The following is a 23,262-nucleotide window of genomic DNA, read 5'->3' on the forward strand; positions in this document are numbered from 1 at the left end:
ATATTCTTTTGTTTGAAAGCCATAGAAGTAATTACAGGATTCAAATAAAATATTTGAAATTATTATAAAACATAATAGTTGCCAACCTAAGACCAAGTGCAAAAAGGTCCAGGTGGAATGAACATTTTCTGATACTTGTGGGCACAGGGGTGTCTTATTTCGGTAGAGAATCTGATATTGCACATGCTTCCATGAGAATTCAGACATATGTCCTCACCTATTGTTCTTCTAATCAAATTATAGAGTTTATCAAGTTTACCAATTATGGTTTATGAGCCTTGAAGCATCACTAACACCTAATCAATATAATTCCTAATACATGAGCAAGAATGCGTGCACGTGTGTGTGTGTGTGTGTGTGTGTGTGTGTGTGTGTTGGGGTGGGAGATGCTAAATGGAATCCTTGCTTTCAGGGAAAGTATAGTCTAATAGGAGATAAAATGCTCATCTATGAAAGATTGGAAAGCTGTTTCAGAGGGCATATGTGAAGGTGAGATAGCCCTTGATCAAACCACAGTCTCACGGGGGCCAGGGAAGAAATGTCCAAATCTTGTTATGTTTTCACTCTTGAATCTCTTGCTGGTGGCTTCCCTTGGTTGGACCTAACTTAAGTCAAAGGACAATGGGACCAGGGGACACTGTCCATTGAGGTCAGCATCCCACATTATAAAGCAGGGCAAAGAGGGCTGTGGAAGGGCAAGTGGAAGGTGTCTGAAACCCTAGCCAAACTTCCCTTCAATTTTAAATTCACTAGAAAAACAACTATGAGCATTCGAGAACTCAGGACATATTGCTCTTCCCATAAGTTATTCCTGAGGAATCAATTTGTTGAGCTTCAGATGACCAAGAGATCACTGAAGCATCAACATAGATTATGGTGGTAGGCATTGGTTTACTGGACTAAAGATTAATTGTGATACAGGTGACAGAATAGAATTTATGTATTGCATGTTCTGATTCAATGAATGTGTTACAGCTAACAAAGATACATCAAGAATGGGAAAATTTATAGAACAAGCTTGCTGACTGCTTCATAGGGATAAATTGGGAATAAAAGCTTATCACATTCAATTAGATACTTGAGAGAGAGTAAAGGGGGGAAATACGTGGGTCAATTTAATTTTATTGTGACTATTCGGAATGAATAGTGTCAGAAATGGGGAACATAGGTGTATTATATAAAAGCATTAGTATAAAATATCATTAAAGTGAAAAACTTTCTCAAACACTAAAAATACACTTTAGAAGTCTTAGTAAACATACCTATGAAAGTGACTAAAATTAAAAAGATGACAATACCAAGTATTGATGAGGATTTGGTGGAACTGGAACTCTCAAACACTGCTGGTGGGAATGTAAAATGATATAACCACTTAGGAAGACAGTCTGACAGTGTCTTCAAAAGTTAAATGTGGCCGGGTGCAGTGGCTCATGCCTGTAATCCCAGCACTTTGGGACACCGATGCAGGTGGATCACTTTGAGCTCAGGAATTTGAGACCAGCCTGGGCAACATAGAGAAACCCTGTCTCTACAAAAAAAAAAAAAATACAAAAATTAGCTAGGAATGGTGGCTTGTGCCTGTGGCCCCAGCTACTCAGGAGGCTGAGGCTGGAGGACTGATTGAACCTGGGAGGTGGAAGTTGCAGTGAGCCGAGATGGTGCTACTGCTCTCTAGCCTGGGCGACAGAGACTCTGTCTCAAAAAAAAAAAAAAAAAAAAAAAAAAAAAAGTTAAATGTACGCCTACCATATGTTCCAGCCATTCCACTCCTGGAATTTTTCCCAGGAGAAATGAAAGCATATGTCCATGAAAGGACTTGTACACAAAAGTCCACAGCAGCTCTGACTGCAATAACCAGGAAGTGGAAGCAACCCAATGGCCATCAACAGATGACGAGATAAACCACCAATATGTCTATATAGTGGAATACTATTTAGTAATAAAAAACAATCAACTATTTGTTCATGTGATATCAAAGATGAATATTAAAGTCATTATGCTGAAAGTTTCCATAAAAATCTTACATTTAGGTTGGTGATCCATTTAGTTAACGCTTCACTATTGCTTAGTTTGTGACTTTCAGATTAATCATTCCACACAACTGAGGCAAGACCCTTTTGCATACTCTACCCAATGTCCCATGAGACCTAAGATTTTCCAGCCTAGCTTGTGGAGACAGGATACTATTCTCAGCCTTGGATGAGGGTCCAGTTCTGTTCTCTTGAATCCTTGGGAATGGTTCTTGCTCTGGCCTCAGGTAATTTCCTCGTGTGCATTCATTGATTATGACTCAGCTGAGTGTTCCAGAGGGGCCCTCTACAGAGCTCTGGTTTTCACCTTGTGCAGCTCTCCTTCCCTTCTGTTCTCCTTGGACTCTCAGCTCCATCTCCTCTATTCAAGGAGTCCACCAGGCTTTGCTTGCATCTCGTCCTGGAAACTCTCCCAAAGCAAGAAGCTAGGAAGTTGCAGGGCTCATCTATTTGTTTTCTTTCTGTCAGAGAATCACTTAATTGCTGGGCATTCAATCGCTAAAAAAAATTGTCTCATTTATTTTGTCCGTTTTTTCGTTGTTTTCATCTAGGAGGTAAAATCTATTTCCTATAATTCCATTTTGATAAGAAGTGGAAGTTTACAAGACATAATATTTAAATATAAAATACATATTGAAATATAACAAACAGTATTAAAGGTCAAACATATTGGTTGGATTAATAAGTATAAAATTGGCTTAACTTACATAATAGGAAAAGATTACTGGATGGACCAACAAAGCAAAATTCAGCCCTCTTCTGTTTATAAGATACAGCTAAAATAAAGAGATTCAGAAGGTTCAATATAAAAGTGATAGACAATGATTGATATACTAGGTAAACATAAATAGCAAGAAAGCAGAATTTATGTTCTTGGTAGCTACAGCAGATGTGTCAGGGCCCTGCTCGTATCTCTTTATTCTTTCTACTGTGCTGTGCATCAGCTCAAAATTCCACTTTCTCGCCCCTCATTCTTTGCATGCTGGCTTTCTCTGGCATCCAGAGTCTTCTTTGTTTCCCATGGGCTGATCAGAGGTGCTGAAGAATCAGTATTCTCTCACAGCAGCTCCCAATCAATCAGTGATGGTTGGTCGGTATATAAATACCCCAGCTCCCTCTCCTTTGGATGGAATAGCTCTGAGGCATGTGTATTACGCTGACACTTAGAGTTTCCAAGTGGAATAAAGCTCCAGCTGTGTATTAGGCTTCTCTAGAAGGACAGGACTAATAGGACAGATGTATATATAAAGAGGAGTTTATTAAGGAGTATTAACTCACAGGATCACAAGATGAGGTCCCACAATAGGCTCTCTGCAAGCTGAAGAGCAAGGAAGCCAGTCTCAGTCCCAGTGCTGAAGAGCTTGGAGTCCCATGTTCAAGGGCAGGAAGCATCTAGCATGGGAGAAAGATGTAGGCCAGAAGACTAAACCAGTCTAGTCTTTCCATGTTCTGCCTGCTTTTATTCTGGCTGCGCTGGCATTGGATTAGATTGTGCCCACCCAGATTGAGGGTGGGTCTGCCTTTCCCAGTCCACTGACTCAAATGTTAATCTCCTTTGGCAACACCATCACAGACTCACCCAGGAACAATACTTTGCCTTCTTCAATCCAGTCAAGTTGACACTCAGTATTAACCATCACAAGCTGTCCACAGTAGTAAATGGCTTTAGAATGCATCATTTACTTTCCCACCCTTTCCTGACTCACTTTCCCCTTTGCTTATCAATGTTTTCTCCACTTCCCAAATAAATCACTTGCACTGGAATCCTTGTCTCAGGATCTACTTAACGGGAACCCAAACCAAGAAGATAACAGAAAAGGCAAAATTCAGCCCCCACAAAACAAACCAAAACACAACAAACACAAACATCAATAATGCTAATATTAAAATTTGTAAGGAAGTTATAAATATCTATGTATTCAATATCAGATCAATCACCTTTATGAAGCAAGAAACTAGAGAAGATGTAAATAAAAGTAGACTAAAACACATTCATAGTAGGAAACTTCTACTCAATCTAAGACAGATGAAGTAGATAAAACATTTAACAAGGATATAAAATACCTAGTTAACAAGTTCAGTAGGTTAACTTTTATAGATATACATGGTACTCTGAAACCAGGCTATTGAGAATATACTTCCTTTCAAGTACAGATGGAGCTTCCTTAAAAGTTGACCCTATTTTAGAACACCTCCCAAAAACCTTGAGTAGCTCTAAAAAGTAAAATAACACTAACAGCATTTATGACCATAATACAGTAAAATAAAAATTGTATACTAACAATTTTTAAAGGCCCTCCAACAATTTGAAAACAAGCTCAAAGCAGTAAAACTTTCTCTAAACAGTAGGCCAGGGCAGTTGTAGAGATCACCTTACTTTCCTTTCTGTCAGGGATCATTTCATTAAGCAATGGTTGGCTGTTAAACAATCTTGGCTCAATGGGGAAATATAAAATTAAATTTTAGAACTTCTAGAAAATAGCAAAAATGAAAACACAATACATCAAAATCTAAAATTCATAGCAGTAAATACTTATTACAGTAAAAATGAAAATAAATCGCCCAGGCAAAAAGCTAGAAAAAAAAGCAACAAAGTAAACTGACAGAAAAAAGAAAAAGAAAATCAATGACAATAAAAGCAGATTAAAATGTAGGGAAAAAACCCACAGCAGAGTTAATAAGAAAATATAAATCTTGTTCTTAGGAAACAACAGCAACAAAGCTGACAAACTACTACCCAGATTAATACAATAAATGAAGTACAAGTACACAAAGTAAGAGATGATACAAAGTAACTATCAAAAGAGAGGAGATAAAATGAGGTTCTACATTTAGCAGAATGTTCTGCAAATAAATTTGACAACTTAAATAAAATGGGTTACTTTCTGTAAAATATAATTTATCAAAGCTGGCCCCAGTACAGATAGAAAGTTTAATCAGGACCAATTCCCATACAAGAAATAGAGAAAGTTGTAAAAATGTTTCTTTATAAGTAAGCACTATGACCAGACAATTTAATAAAAAATTCCACCAAATCATGAAAAATCAGAAAATTGCAGTGCTACCCAAAATATTCCAGAGCTTTTTTTTTTTTTTTTGAGACGGGGTCTTGCTCTGTTGCCCAGGTTGGAGTGCAGTGGTATGACCTCAGCTCACTGCAGTCTCTGCCTCCCAGGTTCAAGTGATTCTCAGGCCTCAGCCACCCAAGTAGCTGGGACCACAGGTGTGCACCATCACGCCTAGCTACTTTTTGTGTTTTTAGTAGAGACGAGGTTTCACCATGTGGGCCAGGCTGGTCTCGAACTTCTGACCTCAGGTGATCCACCAGCATCAGCCTCCCAAAGCGCTGGGATTGCAGGCGTGAGCCACTGTGCCCAGCAGAAAATATTCCAAATCTTTAAAAAGGAGTGACATGATATGAGTATGACACGGATATCAAAACTTAACAAATGTAATATGAAAAAGTAATTATAGGCCAATCTCACATATTAATATCAGTGCAAAAATATTAAATGAAATAATGATAACTAGAATCCAACATCTCATTTAAATATGAATTCATTCTGACCACATGATGCTTATGCTAGAAACAAAAAAATGATTCAATACTGACAATCTATTAATATCATTCAGTATATTAAAAGTCTGAGAAAAATTCTATCATCATCTCAATAGATGTCAAAAAAGCATTTAATAAAATTCAATGCTCATTCATGATTTTTAAAAAAAAGTTAATGAAAGAATATGGATAGATTCTTTCTTAAAAAAATTACATAATTCCTATCAAAAGTCAGCTTCTTATAATGGGGGAACCTTAGAGGCAGTTCCAGAAAAAAATGAAAGAAGCAAGGATGTCTGCAATCTGCACTACTATTTAACAGCATATTGGTGGCATTAAAGCAATGCAATTAGACACAAGAATTGGAAAGAAAAAGATAAAACCATCTCTGTAAGTGACAGCATTGTTTACCTGCAATTATAGAAAACACTACTACAAACAATAGAATGAGTAAGGTAATATCAGCAATCTTCATATATATAAACAAAACTCTTAGCAGATACATGGAATAGCAAATATGTGTAGTTACAACAGCAAAAATTTAATAAAATAAAATAAGAATAAAGCTAGCAAAATAATGTGCAGAATATTTATGAAGAAATCTATAAAACAAAAATGGACATGGACAAATGCATATCCGTGTACATCATATCTACTTGTAGGGATAGCATGTCTATTTTCTTAAATTCAACTTATAATTTATGACTATCTCAACAAAAATACCATTTTTTTCCCTGAAGTTAAGCAAGTTGATTTAAACATTGACTTGGAAGATTACATGATCTAGCATAGCCAGAAAATCCTAAAAATGAGCTTTTTGTGGAGGGTTAGCCCTTTGGTACATGAAAACATAATAATAGCAAGTCTCTATGAATAAAACTGTGTCATTTATGCATAGGCAGACAGACAGTGAAGCAGAAGAGGAATCTCAGAAGTAAATAAATACAATTGCATATGGACAAGTAGAGAGTTGGCAGTTGAGGAGGAGAAAAATGAACAGGATGAAGTTACTCTTGGTTTTTATGAAACAAAATGGAGCATTTTGTTGATGGATTGGCTGTGGGGATGAGAGAGAGGGAGGTGTTGAGAGTGTTTCTTGGGTTTCTGGCTAATGTGGTGGGGTGAGGTGGCAAAAGGTACTACCTAGTGCCCATTCTCAGTTACCTTTGGAATACTGGGAGTGCAAAAGAAGCTCCCCTGTAGTTGCAAAAAAAATGTAATAAACGAAAACACAATGTCATCTATAATGATGTTAATTGTGTTGATTTCATATGGACAATCACTTGTGCTGATTTCACATGTGCTGGCTTCGTGATGGGAAATCTTGTGGCTTCTCAGTTTATTATACGTTATCCGTACTTTATTCCACCTTATCTATGGTCACTGGTGCTTGATTTATGTTTTAGTCTTGTATGGGATATCTCAAAGAACTTGTGTCTATTTTCAGCTTCTGGCACTTTCCAGGACTCGACTGCATGAGTGCGATCTTGTAGGTAGCCAGGAAAACTCCCTTTCCTTCGCCCCAGACAAACTGAAGTTCTCACCTCTCTCCTCACTTGCTTGAGTTGCTAGCCATCACTTTATAGTTGCTTTCCTTTCTCCACTCTTGCTCCTGTCTGCTCCATCAAGCATTCTGTAGTCAGAGCGATGTTTCTAAATTAATCTTGTTATGCCCTCCTCAAAGACTTCAGTGACTCCTCATGCCTTCAGGATAAAATCCAAGCTGTGGCTTAGAAGGCTCCAAAGCATTCAGTCATCTTCTCTGAAGGTCATTTTCTGAAACTTTGTACCTTGCCCATGGTGCCTGGCTCTGCTGAACACTATCTCTCTGTCTAGAATGACTAACTAACCCCTTCTCATTTTTTGGCTCTCCACTCAGGTGTCACCCTTTCCAGCAGCTTTCTTGACACCCTAGCTGGAATTTGGGACCTCTATTCCCAGTGTCACTAGCACTCTGTGCACCTATCATAACATCTTTGCCACTCGTCTTGCCTCCTCTGCGAGGCTGAGCTCCTTCTGAGAAGGGCAGTGGCTCCGACACTCCTGTTCCCCACCATGAGGCCCAAGACCTGGCACAGAAGGGCCCTCAGCAGTTGTTGAACTTAAGGAGGAGGAAGAGTACAGTCCTATTTAGGCCCCACTTATTTCTATCTTTGCTCAAAACTTGTCCTCTCCTCCCTTCATTCTCAAAATCTCCTAAGCGTTCCCAAGCTGATTTATTTGTCACATGGCCATAAAATTACTAATTGGAAATGCTGGTGCCCAATTCATTCTGCTGGCATCTTCCCCGCTTGTCCCATTTCGGTCCCTGGAAATTCCACATTACTAATGAACCACCACCCTTTGCAATAAATCTGCAATTCATCAATATGGTCTAATTTTTTAAACATTTCTTTTTTTCCTTGGTGTTGGGTCACTTCAGGCCATTATGAGTGAGAAATAAAGTGGCTTGTTGAAGCATAATGATTAAAATATGAGACTGTCTTTCTATCTTCACACTCAGACAAGCTTGCTAATTGCAAGGTAAGGTTGGAGCAGCTTTAAACTTCTTGGCCACATGCAATATTTAGGAAGGAAAATGAATGAATGATTAACTTTTGGTAAAAAAGAGAGGTGGAGGCACATTTCCACTGTTGCAATATTGTGAGAGGAAAAAGAAAACTGCAAACCTCTAGTTGGTATAAAGAAAGATTAAACTCTGTTTTACTTGGAAGAATTACAAACTCAAATTGAATTCAGATATTCACTTGTGTCGTTAATTCAAAGTCATCTTTTGCACTTTACCACACCTCTATTCTGATGACGTATTGGGGTTTGCTTTGCTTTGCTTTGCCTCTCCCTCCTTAGGCGTGCGGGAGACCCTCCACTGGCCCTCCCAGAATGTCTTTCTCCCTCTCCCTACCCTGCTCTCTGCCCTGAGAAGCTGCCCAGTATGGACTGCCTCAACAACTTCTCTTCCTTTGTGAATTCAACAGGAAACACTGGACGAGATGGGAGGCAGGAGAAGAGAGAGGATGGGATGTTTACTGTCACAGCCAGCCCAAGGTGATGGCTGTGTTTCTCCCTCAAAGGCCATGTCCTGTCTAGCAGCCCCCTGCTATGGACAGAATGGTGGCCAGGCTGTGGAACTGCACCTCACCTTGCCCTTTCAGACTGAGGAGTGGTAAAGAACCTCCCGGTTGCCAGCCTTTGTTGGTTTTCTTGAACCCTGTTCTCACCTTGGTATATAATCCCAGCATTAAGTTTCCCCAAAATCACCCATTTCAGAGGGCCATTTGTTTCCTGGGACTCTGGCTGACATTCACATCAAAAAATTCAATTCCAGAACACCAAGTATTTAGAGGTCACTTCCTCCAAGTTCCTCACCTTGCAAAGGAAGAGACTGAAGCTCACAGAGAAATGATGGCTTGCCACCTGCTATGTAGCCGTTGACAGCATAGCCAAGACTGGAACCCACAGCACTTGTATTTTCAGACTAGCATTCCTACTTTGGTGCCAAATGGCATGAATCAAATAGTTGAGCTTGCTTATTAATAGCAACTATTACCACTATTACATTAGTTAGCTTTTACTGAGGGCTTCCTAGGTGGTGGGCATGTGCTAAGTGTATTTGTTTATCATCTTCAGCTCTCCCAACCATATGATGCAGTTCCTGCATGTTTGCTGATGTTGTTGATTGGGAAAGTCGAGCTAAATTCTGTGTCCCCAGTCACACAGCTTGGGGTAATGTGTGACAGCCCAGGATTCCCACCTGGATCTTTCTGACAAGAAAGTCATGTTTAGACCACCCTGTAAGGTACCTTTGGCCAAGACCCATGATGTGTGCTGAATCTGAAACCAAATAATATCTAAGAGGCCAGAATAAAGGTCAAATGATGTTTAGGCCAAGAGAGCTGCCGTGAGCATGGAAAGGTTGTGGGGCCGTGTGGTCAGCTGGCAAGTGTGGAGTTGGTTCCTATGCTTCTCTCACCATTTAGTGGCTCGCCCCGGTGAAAATGGCAGTTCCAATGGGATGGACCGCACCAGAAAGTTTACCCTCGTCAGGCAGAAGCCCCTGAGAAAACGGGGGCTGACAGAAGCCCCTGGGAGATGCTCAGGGAGTGGCCCAAGGTTGGGAGCCAAGCTGGAGTCCAGAGTCAGAACCGGGAAACCGTCCCGATCATGGGAACCAGGGATCTGGGAAGCACTTGGACATGATTCCACCAAAAGCTGTCTCTTTCACTCAAGGAATCTTAAAGAATTACACACAGACACTGTCCATAGCTATTTTCCACATGATTAAATCAGTATTTGCTTAATAAAGAAAATCTGGTAGAAATGAGGAAGTGGAGAAAAGAAAAGAAACTTTTTCAGCTCAGGAATGTCACCATGTTTGCCACAAGAGCCCATGGTTTGGGACATTCGTGTCTGGCGGGGAAAGGGGGATATCCCGGATGCAGGGTGTGGCAGAGAAGCTACGAGGGAGTGCACTGCCAAGTCCCTTCTGGGCCCCACACCTGGGCCTGCTGCCCTGTGGCTCCCCAAGGACTCCAGAAGCAGCAGGGAATGGGACACTCAGGATCTGTGCCACCTTCAGCAAGCCATGCCTCTTTTCTGAGCTTCAGTTTCTGTATCTGTAAGAGGAGCATGGTCAGCTCTGCCTGTGCAGGTCTCGCCATCTCACAGCGCCCTGTCCTCCAGCTGCATTTTTGCTGGAAAGCATGGCCCAGCTAGGGAATCCCGCTCCCCTCTCACTGCTCACCAGGGCTCCCCTCATCTCATCTTTACCCAATTCCCCTGGCCGGGACCTCCCACCCACCATGGAAAGCTGCAGCCCTGGTCGGACCCATGGATCCTGGGTTTTCTGGTGGTCACCTTCCTAAGTCAGATTCCGATGCTGCCTTCTTCGCGAGGCTTCTTGTGTGGATTCTCTTAGTGTCAATCCGCGGTGCCAGGGGATGTTTAGATTAGGTCATGCGCCTACTCCCAGGAAGCTGCATGTGTCCTCACTGGTTCACTAAAAACATATTTCTTAGAAGTGAGGCCTTACTGCTCAGCTGCCCTAAAAACACAAGCAGGATGAGATCACCCACAGGACCCCAGTCCTGGCTAAATGCTGATGTAGTCCCTCCTGGGGGACAGGGGTGCAGCTGTGATCCTCAAGTGAGGAACTCAAGCTTCTGCGAGGTCCCTGGTTCTAGAATGTCAGTAGTAGAGACCCTGCTTCCCCCAGCCAGACACACCTTTGATACACAGGCCCACTTCGAGCCCATAAGACAATGCTCGGGACAGGAGCCCTTCCCGACCCTAGCTCTGGTGAATGAAAAGGAGGTGGGCATTTCCTTTCCACTACTTTAAAAATGCTTCGTGGGCTGGGCACGATTACACACCTGTAATCCCAGCACTCTGGGAGGCCGAGGTGGGTGGATCACTTGAGCTCAGGAGTTCCAGACCAACCTGGGAAACGTAGTGAGACGTTGTCTTTACAAAAAATATAAAAATTAGCTGGGCATGGTGGCACATGCCTGTGGTCCTAGCTACTTGGGAGGTTGAAGTGGGAAGATCTCTTGATCTCGGGAGGTGGAGGTTGAAATGAGCCAAGACTGCGCCACTGCACTCCAGCCTGGGCTACAGGGCAAGACACTGTCTCAAAAAAACAAAAACAAAAACAAAAAAATGCCTCGTGCCTCTGTCTCCTGAGACAGAAACACTTCCTGGGGTACCATGAGGGGAGAGTGAGATTTGGGGCCACACCAGTGTGAGGGGAACACAGCTGTGTGACCACGGACAAGTAACTACATGTCTTGGGGCCTCTTGCTCAGCTATAAAATGGGGAAAGCAGATGTTAGGAGACCACGTATGTGAGCGCGTGGACCAGTGTCTTGGCATTGTCCCAGGAATGGCTTGTGAACTCCACTTGGCTGAATCATCAGAACTTTTAGGAATCCCAGTTGTCTGGCCTGTTGAGGTTAACTACTCATGTGGTTCTGATTTATATAAGGGAAGATAAAAATGCAGCTACTCGGGAGGCTGAGGCAGGAGAATCGCTTGAGCCTGGGAGGCGGAGGTTCCAGTGAGCTGAGATTGCGCCACTGCTCTCCAGCCTGGGTGACAGAGCAAGGCTCTGTCTCCAAAAAAAAAAAAAAAAAAGGCAAAGTAAACTCAGAAGAGGAGAAGGAGAAGAAGAGGTGGCTCCTGCTACCTGCCCTCTTGCCCTAGTATGGACAAGGATGCCACACAGGCAGGTAGACCCTCAGGGCAGGAAGGAGTTGTAAAATTCCACTGTTCTCAGCACTTGGAAAACAAGCCTTCAGTGAGCAGCCACTCGGCCTTTGGTCTTGCTTTGCTCTGTCATCCAGGATCTAGCCAGCCACAGGGCAATCTGGGGTGGTGAATGTCCTGCCTACATCACAGCTTGGGGACAGGAGCTCTTCACGGCAGGCTCGTTTGCTGTAGGACATGCACTATTCGGGATGAAAACTCTGATGGGATTTCCAGGCCAGAGCCTTTCTGGCGCGCCCGTGACTCTCCCTCCATGCTGTGGGTGTCCTGGAGGTCCAGCGGCCTCACTGCTCACAGGTCCTTCCGAGCTGCTTGTCTGCTCCCTCACTCTGAGCGCCCACCTCACGGCTCCCGATGCTCTCCTTGCTTTCAGCCTCCCTGCCCAGGCCTGGAGTTTGGCCTGCTGTGCCCTTTGACTGGACACCCGCCAATGACTCCACTCTCCCGCCCTGGCCACCCCCCTTCACTGCAATTTGGAGTCTGTCCAGGTCCTCTGAGATACCTCATATGAGGGCTCTGTTTCTCCCCACAATCGGGCATGTGCTCATTAGTCATGGGATGAGTGGGTCATTTCGGAGCTTTCTACCTGAGGCAGGGGCTGTGGGGTTGATCCATTTCACTGCCTCAAGGCTTGGCAAGGCATGGGGAGGGCCACTGCTGGGCCGACCCACCTGGGCTTTGGTCAAGAGGGTGAGCGGCAGCCTGGGGATGCAGCTTCTCCCGCAGTCCCCCGTAGAGGCATGGGAGCAGCTGCATGATGACAACCTGTGCCAGGAAACTCCTTTTCAAGCTGACTTCTTAGGAATGAGGTGCTGTTCTAGAAATCCACAACAGAGACCAAACTGCCACTGCCCTGGCCACGGGGTCCAGCTGCAGATTAGGAAATGGGCGTAGTGCAGGAAAATAGAAAAATCAGTCCCCGCCTTCCTTAGTAATGACGCTGTCAGATGGGAGGAAGGAGCCTTGACTTCCTGAGCCCATCAGAGGCTCTGGGACAGGACTGGGGTGGGGATGCTCGACTTGGAGCCCTTCTTGTACATCCTCTTTGAACCCTTCTCAGCCTCCTGGAACCCTGGCAGTTGGTCCCTGGCACTTTGGTCCTTCTGCTGAGTTCTGACAGCCCAAGGCCATCTTCTGTCTGACCCTTCCCTGTTCTGGTGCCGCACATCCGCCTTCCCCTCCACTCACATCGTGCCAGGCCCCATGGTCTGGAACCGTCTGCCCTCTGCTCCATCAGAATCTGCCTCAGGTCATGTTGCAGCCTGCTCAGTTCCCTTCATAAAACACATATAGTGCTAGCACTGTGTTCCTAGGCCTAAAGGCCCCACGTGAGTGAGACCTGGCCCCAGAGTGCCAAGTCACAGAAGCCCGTGGATTCTAGTGTGCAGTGGCCACAGCAACCTGAGGTGCCACAGCAACCTGAGGTGCCACCTTCCACAGGGCAGCGGCATGAGGATGCCTGGTCTCCCATGGGACGTGGCTGGGCTTTGGAGGATGAATAGGAGTTCTAGTGCAAAGCATGGAAGAGTCCACATGGTGTGTCTGGGGAAACACACATAGCTCGGTGTTTTCCAAGTTGAGTGGAGAGGCACCAACTGAAGCCACAGTCTTGCCACCAACTCACCGCGTGCCTTGCTAGCCCTTTGCTTTCCTGGGCGGGTCTCTCCATCAGGGCTGGCCCACCACACAGTCTGCAGTGTGGGGTACCCAGATGCCAGGGGAGGAAGCAGGGGGTCTGTGTGTAAGGGTGGGGCTTGGGCAGAAGCCACCGACCCTGTCCTCAGGAGACCCAGAGAGCCCCTGCTAAGGACATGGGTGGGACAGCAATGCATGGACAGCAACGGGCTGAGAATTTCACCTTTGTACCTCACTTATGCTCCTCAAGGTCTCTGCATCTATATGAAGGGTCTGGAAATTGAGTGCAACCACTGTAACACATGGCTTTTTCCTTTAGGAATGAGAGTGGGCTCCAGCCAGCCCTGCAGGAGCTACTTCCCCCTGTTCTTACTTAACCAGAGCCCCGGTTGGGCGCTTGGCCTAATCACTCATGAGCAGGAGCCAAGTTCATCACTTCCTGACTCTTCAGCTTTGAACACCTTTGCATCTTCAGTGAAACTTCTGGATTTCCAGGTGACAATCTCCATCCTGGGCCTGTCTCAGTGGTGGAAATAACATGGCACGGAATCACCCTGCGTTCCCCCAGGAGCACACCCCTGAAAGGTCCTGGCATGTGTTCCCGGCCTCTGGACATTTTCAGGTATTGCTCCTCTGCCTGGCTGGCTGCCACTGCTCTTTCACCCTGCTGAGAATGACTGGACTCTTCCACGCTCATCAGCTCACAGCTTCTGCCCAGCCCCTCCTCTGGAAGAATTCCCTGCCTCTCCCCTGTGTCTCCCCTCTCTTGGGACACCAGGCTCACTCACCGTGATTGGCCAATGCCATGTGGCCCCTCTACTAGTGGGCTTATTGGAAGGCAGAGACTAAATTAATTTGTAATTTCCCCCTAGCACTCATCACAGGGTCTGGCTTAGAGAAGCTCTCTTAGTGTTGGTTGGAAGAAAAGACAAAAGGAAGGAAGGAGGGAAGGAAGGGAGGAGGAACAGAAGGGAAGAAGGGAAGGTGGAAAGAAGGGAAAGAGAGGAAGCAAAGGAGGGAGAGGAAGGAAGACAGAGAAAGGAAGGAAGGAAAGGAAGGAGACCTTTGGTGACAACGGAAAGGCAAGGTTGCTTCAGTCCCTGAAGCACTTTACCCCAAGGCTGCGGGTGGCCCTCCCACTGGGACATCCCCATCAGGTCCACATCTCTTATTTGGATCCTGCTGGCTGCTGGCATCACCATCAGGCCAGGGCCCAGTGCCTGCCTCCTGGCACTGGACTACAGAGAAGGGGGTGGTGACGTTGGCCCTGGCTCCCATTTGTAGGACCTGGTGCCATAGATGTCCCGTGGAGAGCTCCATGGCACCTGTTAGGAGATGGGTGGCAGAGGGAGGCTTTGCTATGCTTGATGTTCAGCCCCTTGGGAGGTGCCTCTGGGAGCTGAGGAGGATCTGCCTGAGAACAGCACACCAAAGACAACTGCAGCCCCAGCCTCCATGCCCTGTCAGGGCCAGCGGTACAGCCTGGTGCCTCAGACTGCTGGAAACCTCCCATCTGCCCCGTCCCCTTCCTTCCCAATCAAGCAAGTGGACACCACACCCTGCCACACGCAGACAGGGCTCAGCCTCCCCTCATTTCCTAGATAGCCACTGTCCAAATCCCGCATGCTGTCCCCTGCCTGGATCTTCCCAGCCCTCCCTCCTGCCTCCCAGAAGCCAGTCCAGTCCCCTCCCCGGTTACAGTATGGTTCTTTGTGATAGGAAAAAATAAAATTCTTAAGAGTAAGAAAAGCATCCATAGATCTCCACTCCAATAAAGCCCATTAGTCTGGGGCAAAAGCTGGGATCAGTCAGTGCTCTAAATCCAAGTCCACAGGAGCAGGCACACCTGTGCCCAGATGCCACATCCCCACATAGTACATCAAACGAGGAGCAACCATGGCTGCAACCCAATCTGCGGAGGTGTTTGGGCCCTGGAAAGCTCCCTTACACAGCACAGGAGTCAGGAAGATGTGGGGAGTGAAGCAGGGAAGGGCAGCCTTCTTGGATGCCCCTCTTCCCTCCCTGTCCTTGCTCTCCCCGTGCCGCCATCCCGGAGGAAGCTTCCCGATTTGTTAGATTTCAGAACTGCACTCTGGTGATGTCGCTGTGTGTCGAAAGGCTCCTGAAACAAGTGAGTGGGAGCTGCCACGGGACCTGTCCAGGGCCAACTTGGCGTCATGCACTCAGTCTGCCTCCTCCCCTCGTCCCCCACAGGGTCGAGATAAGAAGGGGTGAACACAGCGGTGGACTTGCGGGCTGGGAGGACGGCCCTGCTGGGCTTTGGGTTCGGTGGTCGTATTGGTCTTTCTCTTTGCCCCTTTTCTTTTCTTTCTCCCTTGTTAACTGATGTGATGACACTTTTGTTCCTTTTAAGTTCCAAACCAGTTGAGAAATCTGACGCTGAAGTCAGGATGATAAAGGTCAGCTTGCCCCATGGCTCAGCACTGGGTCCCCTATCGCTCCCCGACTCCTCACCTGAGCACGGTGAGCTGCCCTCAGTGAGCTCGGGTCTGGGAAGGCTCTGGCGCTTGGTTAGCTCTGAGGTCAGTGTAAGGAAGAGGGGAACAGGTCAGAGGCCACACTGTTAGGACGGTGACAAGAGAGGCCACGGAGTGGAAGCAGCAGACGCCTGATGGCTGCGGGAGATGCCCGTGGAGATGGGGGAGCTGCTTCCTCCTTCCTCCTGCCTGAATGGCCACCAAGGAAGGCCGTCCCCGCTGGTGCGGGCAGTGGGGCAGGGTGCAACTACTGCTCAGGCGAGGCACTGCGAGTTGGCCGGGCATGCGAGGGAGAGATTCTGTAGGTAACTAAAATTTGAGATCAGGAGCTTCAGTGAAAAGCTGCCCAGGGCTAAGTGTGGGGACTGTCAGCACAGAAAGGATAGTCTGACGCTACGCAGAGATGCCTAGAGCAGGAGGACATTACAGCACCAGTGTCCAAGAGGCAGTGTGGGATTCTCAGGCAGACTGCACATGCACCCGCCCTGTCTAGACCAGGGCAGGAGGCATGATCCAGGTCCTGCCTCAGGACAATCAGCAGGTTTCGGAAACTAGACCCATTGGGGAGGTTCTCCACAGCCTGGTGGGAGGCCTGGAAGGACCCACGTGTGCTCCCTTCTGGGTGTAATGTGTAATATAGAGGCAGGGAGAAAATGTGAAGTCCGGACCAGGCCAGATTCCCCCTGCTGCTTCCCCTCGGATATTCACCCTTTCATTGAACATTTACTGAATACCTCACCTGAGCCAGACAATAAAAATACCATAGGATTTATGACCTAAACTGGGACATTTTGGGAAGGAGAGAATGCCAGTAATAATATGCTGGGATAACCAACATGACCAGGCCTTTTCCTGGGAACTTGGCCTGGAAAGTTCAGAGCTGCATGCTGCCCCGGCTCCTGGCTATAATCAGAAAGGCAGGTGTGAGCCCCAGATGGGAAGATAACGTGGGGGTCAGGCAGAGGGAACAGAGGCAGACGTGGGCGCAGAGGGAGCAGCAAGGAGGGCTTGACCTTGACTGTGACGGAGACACACAGAGGACTGCGTCTCGAGGACAGGGTTGGCACTTCTGGTCTATGCGAGTGGGCAGGGGTGGTGCTGACATCTCTGGCATGTTAATGCGACGGGGGCACAGAGGAGCTCCCGGGTGCATTCAGGAACTTGGTGGTGGCTTGATGTTGATACGGGACATGGGGGCGGGGGCCGGGGACGTGGGATGCGGGTAGTGTCTGTGTGTGTAGGCAGTGTGGATCTAGGCACTAAGAGTCCTGTAGGTGAGTGGTTTAGACTTAACTCTGTAGGCAATCCAGAGTCACAGAAGCATGTTTCAACACTAAGAACATCACTGAGGTACTTAATCGTCTGGACCTTCAGTGTGCTCATCTGGAAGATGTTGCCTTCATACCACCTGGGCTCACTGAGAAGATGAACCAAGAATAATCATGAAACACTCTGCAAAAAGACCAAAGTAAGGCCAGAGGCTGTCATTATTCCATATTCCACACTTCAAAACCCAGGCTTCTGCGCAGCTTGCAGCTTGAGATACAGAAGGCAAGACAATTTCAAAAGTAGATTTAGCCTAAAGTGGGTCCCCTCCCCTCACAAGGAAAATGAACTAGGGAGGTGGGCAACCTCTCGTCCTTCCCGAGGCCCACCTCTGGGCCCCTTCTGTCTGCTGCCCCCTTGGTCTGGCCAGGGAGCAGGGCTGCTCTGAGAAGGGGAACACCATGCAGTATGTGAAGACCAGGGGCACAGGCCAGCAACATTGTATCTGCTCGACCTCCCATTCCTGACAATGGCCTCCTTGTGCCCCTAACACCCAGGCAGCGTCCTGCCCCCAGGGCCTTTGCACTCACTCTTCTCGCTGCCAGTCATGCGTCCATCCGGAGTTTGCTCCCTCACTTCCTTCAGGGTTTTACTCAACGGTCACCTTCTCACTGGGCCTTTCTTCATCCCCGTCTCCTTTGTCCCACTTTCCCGATGGTTTTTCTTCTTTACACTTATCAGCGCCTAAATGTACTCAACATTTTGCTAACTTATATCACATCTATGGTCTGTCTCCTCCATAGTAACATAACATGAATTTCACAAGTGTGGGGATTTTTGCCTGTTTGTCAGCTGCATGTAACCCAGGGAATGGAGGAGTGCAGGAGGGAGCCAGAAACGTGTGTTGGTTGAATAACTGAATCCGTCCTTCCCATTTTGGAAGAGGGGTATCCAAACCAACTGTAGTATGAAATTCACACAACAGCTAAGATTTGATTTTCTTTTATTTGTGGCACTAAAAGACAGATAGCTGTGATGAAGAGCAATTGGCTGGTAGCTCGTGCCTCACCAAGAGTTTAGCAACGTTAATCAGTGAATGCAGAACAGCTTCCATTCTACCTGAGGCCTAGATCTGAGATCGCTGTGAAACATTAAAGTGACCTCACCATACTTGTTTTCTCACTCAGATACACATTTTATTTCATCAACACATCTTGATTTCTATTACTTTTTTCAATATAACAAAATGTTTTAGAGATATATATGAAAAACTACTGCTGTAGTTAGACCTCATTATAAATATTGGTGACTGGGCACCATGTGAGAAGACCACGATATCATACAAAGGGAGCCAATGAGCTGTTGGACAAACGCGTCAAGGCTGAACCAAAATTGTGATGCTCTCAGCGCAACTTTGATCTGAACTCTTGACAGGTGGGCATCCAACATCCCTGCTCCTTGACCCTCTGCAGGATTCCAGAAGGCTCCCAGTGAAGTCATCAGGCTCCGTACACAGGCACCGTGGGGGAGGCCTATGTCACTTCATAGCCTGGGGAATGGCTGTCCATGTGGGGCACTGCCCATCCACTCCAGTGGTGGTGTGACCTCAGCCACCCGCCACCCTTGCAGGACTCGGGCATGCCCTGGCCACATGATCACGTAGGACTGTTTTCTGGGTGGTAATAGTTGATTTTTAAAAGCTTAGTTGGTCAGATCATGGACTGTGACCCTCTGTGAAGTGTTAGCCCCAAATATTTGAGGAAGAAGAATCCAGCAGTTTTACTACCTAACAAAGCCACCTTTGAAAAGCCTCCCAATTTTTTTTTCTTACTACCAAAACACACAGCATCATGGAGCATATCACATTCAGATTGTTCCATCTGATTCATATGTTTTTTCTAAAATTCAAAAGATCTTAAATCAGTAAGTAGTTTCATCCATCTGTATGTGGTAAAAGTCTCAAAGGTCCAAAATCAGTCTAAGGCATGATTCTTTTTACTTTGCCCATAAATATAATTAAGTGTGAGTGCTGGGCTCCAGCATTTATAGTCCCATTAACCTGCCAACAAGAATCGTTTATTAGCAACTTAAGATATTCAGAGGCAAAACACATTTCCTTGGCACACGAGCTGCGCAGCGACACAGCATCTTCTCCTTTCCTTTCAAGCCGTTATACAGGAACACACCGAAAATCAACTGTGCGCATTTGGCCTGTAGACAAGAAAGTAACACCAAAACTTGATGTTCCTGGCTATGCAGACTCCTTGAGTGACGCCTGTGGGCATATTACAGGTGGGTTTCTGCAATTCTCTGGCCTCTGTTCATTCACACGAGCAAGGGCACCTGCAGGGAAGAGAGATTCACAGTTATTTGGTATGTCAATAAGCCCAGGATGCAGATCTTCTGGTGCTAGAGAGCTCTGTGCACAGCCACTCTTGCAATAGTACTCCTGGAACCCCCTTCCCAGTTCCTTTGACCTGCAGAAAGGAGGCTGTGATCAGGGCTGTCCTCACAGACCTTCTCACGCTCCAGCTTCCTCGTAAAAGCTGCCAGGGAAGGACGACTAGCAGGATGCAGAGGCCCGAGGTCAAGGGAACTGGGAGGTGGGCCCTGGGGTCCTGGTCCAGACAGAGGACACTGCCTCTTGGGCTGTGTGGGTACGCATCTGAGGCCTTGCCCTCTGCTCAGGTGTGCCTGAGAGGATCGTGACTAACATTTGATGTGGGACGAGTTACCCTCTATAACTTCAGTTTCTTCATCTTTATATTGGAGACATACCCATAATAATGACAATAATAAACTGCTTGTTTGGTTAAGCTGATGTTTTAATGAGTGGACTTGTGTCACACTTTAAATGGTGTCTGGCACATGGTAAGCACACAGGAAGTATTCTAGGTACTTTCCATGTGGTGATGGTGGTTAATTGTGGTGGTGGTGGCAGTGGTAACGGTGGTTATGGTAATCGTGGTGGTGGTGATGGCGGTGGTTGTGGCAGTGGTGATGGTGGTGGTAACTGTGGTGGTGACGATGGTGGTGGTGGTGGTGATGGTGATGGTGATGGTGATGGTGGTGGTGATGCAGACCCTGCCCTGTGCATGCTCTCTCACACATCCCTCGCATCAATCTTACAGATGAGGAAGTGAAGCCCCAAGGCCCAGAAGAACTGGGAGGATCGACACCACCCGGGTCTGTCTTGACACTGGGCGCACCTGCCCTTTTCCTGATGCTCCTCCATATCCCTCTCTTCTCTAGGTTCTCTCGGGCCCTCTTCCTGAACTCCCATGGTGGGGATTTAACATCTACTTCAAGCCTGTCCAACTCATGGCCTGGGACCACTTTAAATGTATCCCAATACAAATTCGTCAACTTTCTTAAAACATTATGAGGGTGGGCATAGTGGCTCACACCTGAAATCCCAGCACTTTGGGAGGCCAAGGCGGGCAGATCACCTGAGGTCGGGAGTTCGAAACCAGCCTGACCAACATGGAGAAATCCCGTCTCTACTAAAAATAAAAAATTAGCTGGGCATGATGGCACATGCCTGTAATGCCAGCTACTCAGAAGGCTGAGGCAAGAGAATAGCTTGAACCCGGGAGGTAGAGGTTGCATGAGCTGAGATCGCACCATTGCACTCCAGCCTGGGCAACAAGAGAGAAACTCCATCTCAAAAAAAAAAAAAAATATATATATATATATATATATATATATATATATATATATATATATATGATTTTTTTTGCAATTTTTTTTAAGCTCACCAGCTATCGTTAGTGTTTTTTATATGTGGTACAACACAATTTGTCTTCCAGTGTGGCCTAGGGAAGGCAAAAGATCAGACACCTCTGATCTACTTGTACAAACACAGTGCTCCACTTAGCCAGATGTTTCCTGAGGGCCCCACTTATTAATAGGGGGAGTGTTACAGTCTGAATGCTTGTGTGCTCCCAAATTCACATGCTGAAATCCCAACCTCCAAGATGGTGGTATTAGGAGGTGGGACTCTGGAATTTGATGAGGTCATGGGGGTTGAACCTCATGAAGGGATTGGTGGCCTTATCAAGGAGGCACCAGGGAGCGTGTCTACCCTTCCATCACATGACACGATGGGCAAGACTCATGGAACTTGTGATGTGGAAGGGAAGGCAAGCATCCAACAAAAACCACACCAACTGCTAGAGAAATTAGAGCTGTGGTTTGCATTATGAAGGAAAAATTATGTGACGCTGTATTGGGAACCTAATCTAGACTGAGGGAGGCTTTCTGAAGACGTGAGGTTAATAAAGGAACAAAGGGATGAGTCAGGAATGAGCTGGTCAAATGTGGGGAACAGCTCTGGAGGAGTGGAGAACAGCATTTGCTGGCCCTGAGGATGGTCACTGTGGTAGGTGTGCTTCTCCCAGGAGGCTCCTCCCCGTTCTACCTGCAGAAGAGGCAGCTGACTCAGTAGAGCTGCAATAAGCAGAACAGTCACACGCAAAGAGTCTGCAAAGACAGAACTGACCCCTAGGCCTCAGAACAATTTCACATTAACCAAAGCACACCACAGGTTTACATTACGAGCAACTAAACCAGGGGTGATGCAATTGTATTGTGGGTCACATTCACATCCTGATAGAAATTGCTATTCCCTCGTCACAGCAACTTGGAGTTCTCTAATGCACATATGAGGACCTAGGGCTTAGATGAAAAGAGAGTTGGTGTGTTTTTTCTCTTTCCTGGTTTGGGGCCTCCTGTTACTGTCACATGTCTAATCATTTCTTACAAGGTCTGTGGTCAAGGCCAAGTGTCATGACGCGTGTGGCCCGCATCAATTAATTCCTGCCGTGGGAAAACAGGCACCTGAGGGCCCAGACAAGAGACTGGAACTCAGTTCAATAGGACGTTTCCCAAAGCGGCTAGGAGCTGATAAGGTGTCTGGGCCCAGCAGCAGCAGGACACACGGAAGGGCTGGGAGAAGTCACTTATGATGTCTGTGCCCCATTTTCGCACCTGTCAAAGGGGAGCTACGACCTTGACTTCCAGGAAGGTGTCGGGGTAGATGCTTGCCCCGCTGCCCTCCTGGGAGGAAAGATCCACAAGTCATCGGGATTAGCCTGTCCCAGCTTCTTTGGAAAAGTTCCTAAGGTCAATAGCAGACCCCGCACCCCTGCCCCCTTCCTCTGGCTGAGAGGTCCTGAGGGCACAGATGAAGCTTCTTTCGTCTATCACAAGCAGCTCCGACAGTGCCCGGACCCTAGTAGGTTCTCCGGAAATGCTTGTAGAATGAAGCACTAGACATGAATGTTTTAAATATACACATGGATTAGGAGGGTACTTGTACATTCCAGGCCTTCTGAAATAATGCATTTAAAACAGATCGACAAAGACAGTCAGACGCATACAGCTTTGCCTTTAATAAGAACGCAGGGCTGAGTGGAAGCAAGCACTGAGTGTGGGGTGGGGGCAGATCTGAACACTGCCTTCAGGAGGAGTGGGTGTTCCACTGAGGAAGTGGGTGCACATGCAGCCGAGCTGCAAATGCTCTTATTTGGAGCTGGAGGAGAAACACAGCTGGAAGTTTCTCTGGCAGCCACAAATACAGAGGCAGAGACATCATTGGATTCACACCGTGAAGGCAAATGTAATTTCAATTGCCTTGAAAAATGGCAACGTCACTGTTAAGGTAATTATTCCTCCTACATCAAATTTACCCTTTTGTATTTGATCATGGGCAGCTTACTGCCAATGTGAAATTTGTGTATTACAGGTTGGGTGACCAATCACCCAATTTGCCTGCGACTGTCCCAGAAAACCTTCCCAGCATAGCTGGGCACCCTCATTGAAAGGAGGAGGCTGCACTGCTAAGGGGAGGAGGAGCACCTACAGATTCATGCACTGCCTTGCTGGGAAAGCCAAGGACACCCCTCCATTGCAGGATGTGCTCCCAGCAATGCTGTTCTGGAGCCGTTGCTGAACACCCAAAAGAAGACCCAGGAAACTCTACATCTACTGAGAACCTATGGAGAAACAACCA

The 23,262-nt window shown here is 46.6% G+C and overlaps 1 protein-coding gene across 21 annotated transcripts in view, besides 3 other annotated features; it reads right to left on the reverse strand.

Moving 5' to 3' along the window:
- Nucleotides 11,704–12,205: an enhancer, noted in NCBI's record as "H3K4me1 hESC enhancer chr7:51077377-51077878 (GRCh37/hg19 assembly coordinates)". NCBI's record gives its function as "activates a minimal SCP1, AML or CMV promoter by ChIP-STARR-seq in naive H9 embryonic stem cells {active_cell/tissue: H9 hESC(naive)}" and the evidence as "EXISTENCE:reporter gene assay evidence [ECO:0000049][PMID:30033119]".
- Nucleotides 14,405–14,905: an enhancer, noted in NCBI's record as "H3K4me1 hESC enhancer chr7:51080078-51080578 (GRCh37/hg19 assembly coordinates)". NCBI's record gives its function as "activates a minimal SCP1, AML or CMV promoter by ChIP-STARR-seq in primed H9 embryonic stem cells {active_cell/tissue: H9 hESC(primed)}" and the evidence as "EXISTENCE:reporter gene assay evidence [ECO:0000049][PMID:30033119]".
- Nucleotides 14,906–15,406: an enhancer, noted in NCBI's record as "H3K4me1 hESC enhancer chr7:51080579-51081079 (GRCh37/hg19 assembly coordinates)". NCBI's record gives its function as "activates a minimal SCP1, AML or CMV promoter by ChIP-STARR-seq in primed H9 embryonic stem cells {active_cell/tissue: H9 hESC(primed)}" and the evidence as "EXISTENCE:reporter gene assay evidence [ECO:0000049][PMID:30033119]".
- The window catches only part of COBL (cordon-bleu WH2 repeat protein), a 300,598-nt gene continuing 295,571 nt past the window's right edge, over nucleotides 18,236–23,262 (reverse strand). For all 21 annotated transcript variants that reach the window (NM_001346443.2, NM_001346442.2, NM_015198.5 and 18 more), the window contains one exon: nucleotides 18,236–19,592. In NM_001346443.2, the coding sequence (NP_001333372.1) occupies nucleotides 19,575–19,592 (18 nt within the window). In that variant the 3' untranslated portion in view covers nucleotides 18,236–19,574. The remainder of the gene's footprint in view (nucleotides 19,593–23,262) is intronic.

The sequence above is a fragment of the Homo sapiens genome, chromosome 7, assembly GCF_000001405.40.
Source record: "Homo sapiens chromosome 7, GRCh38.p14 Primary Assembly".
Lineage (NCBI taxonomy): Eukaryota > Metazoa > Chordata > Mammalia > Primates > Hominidae > Homo > Homo sapiens.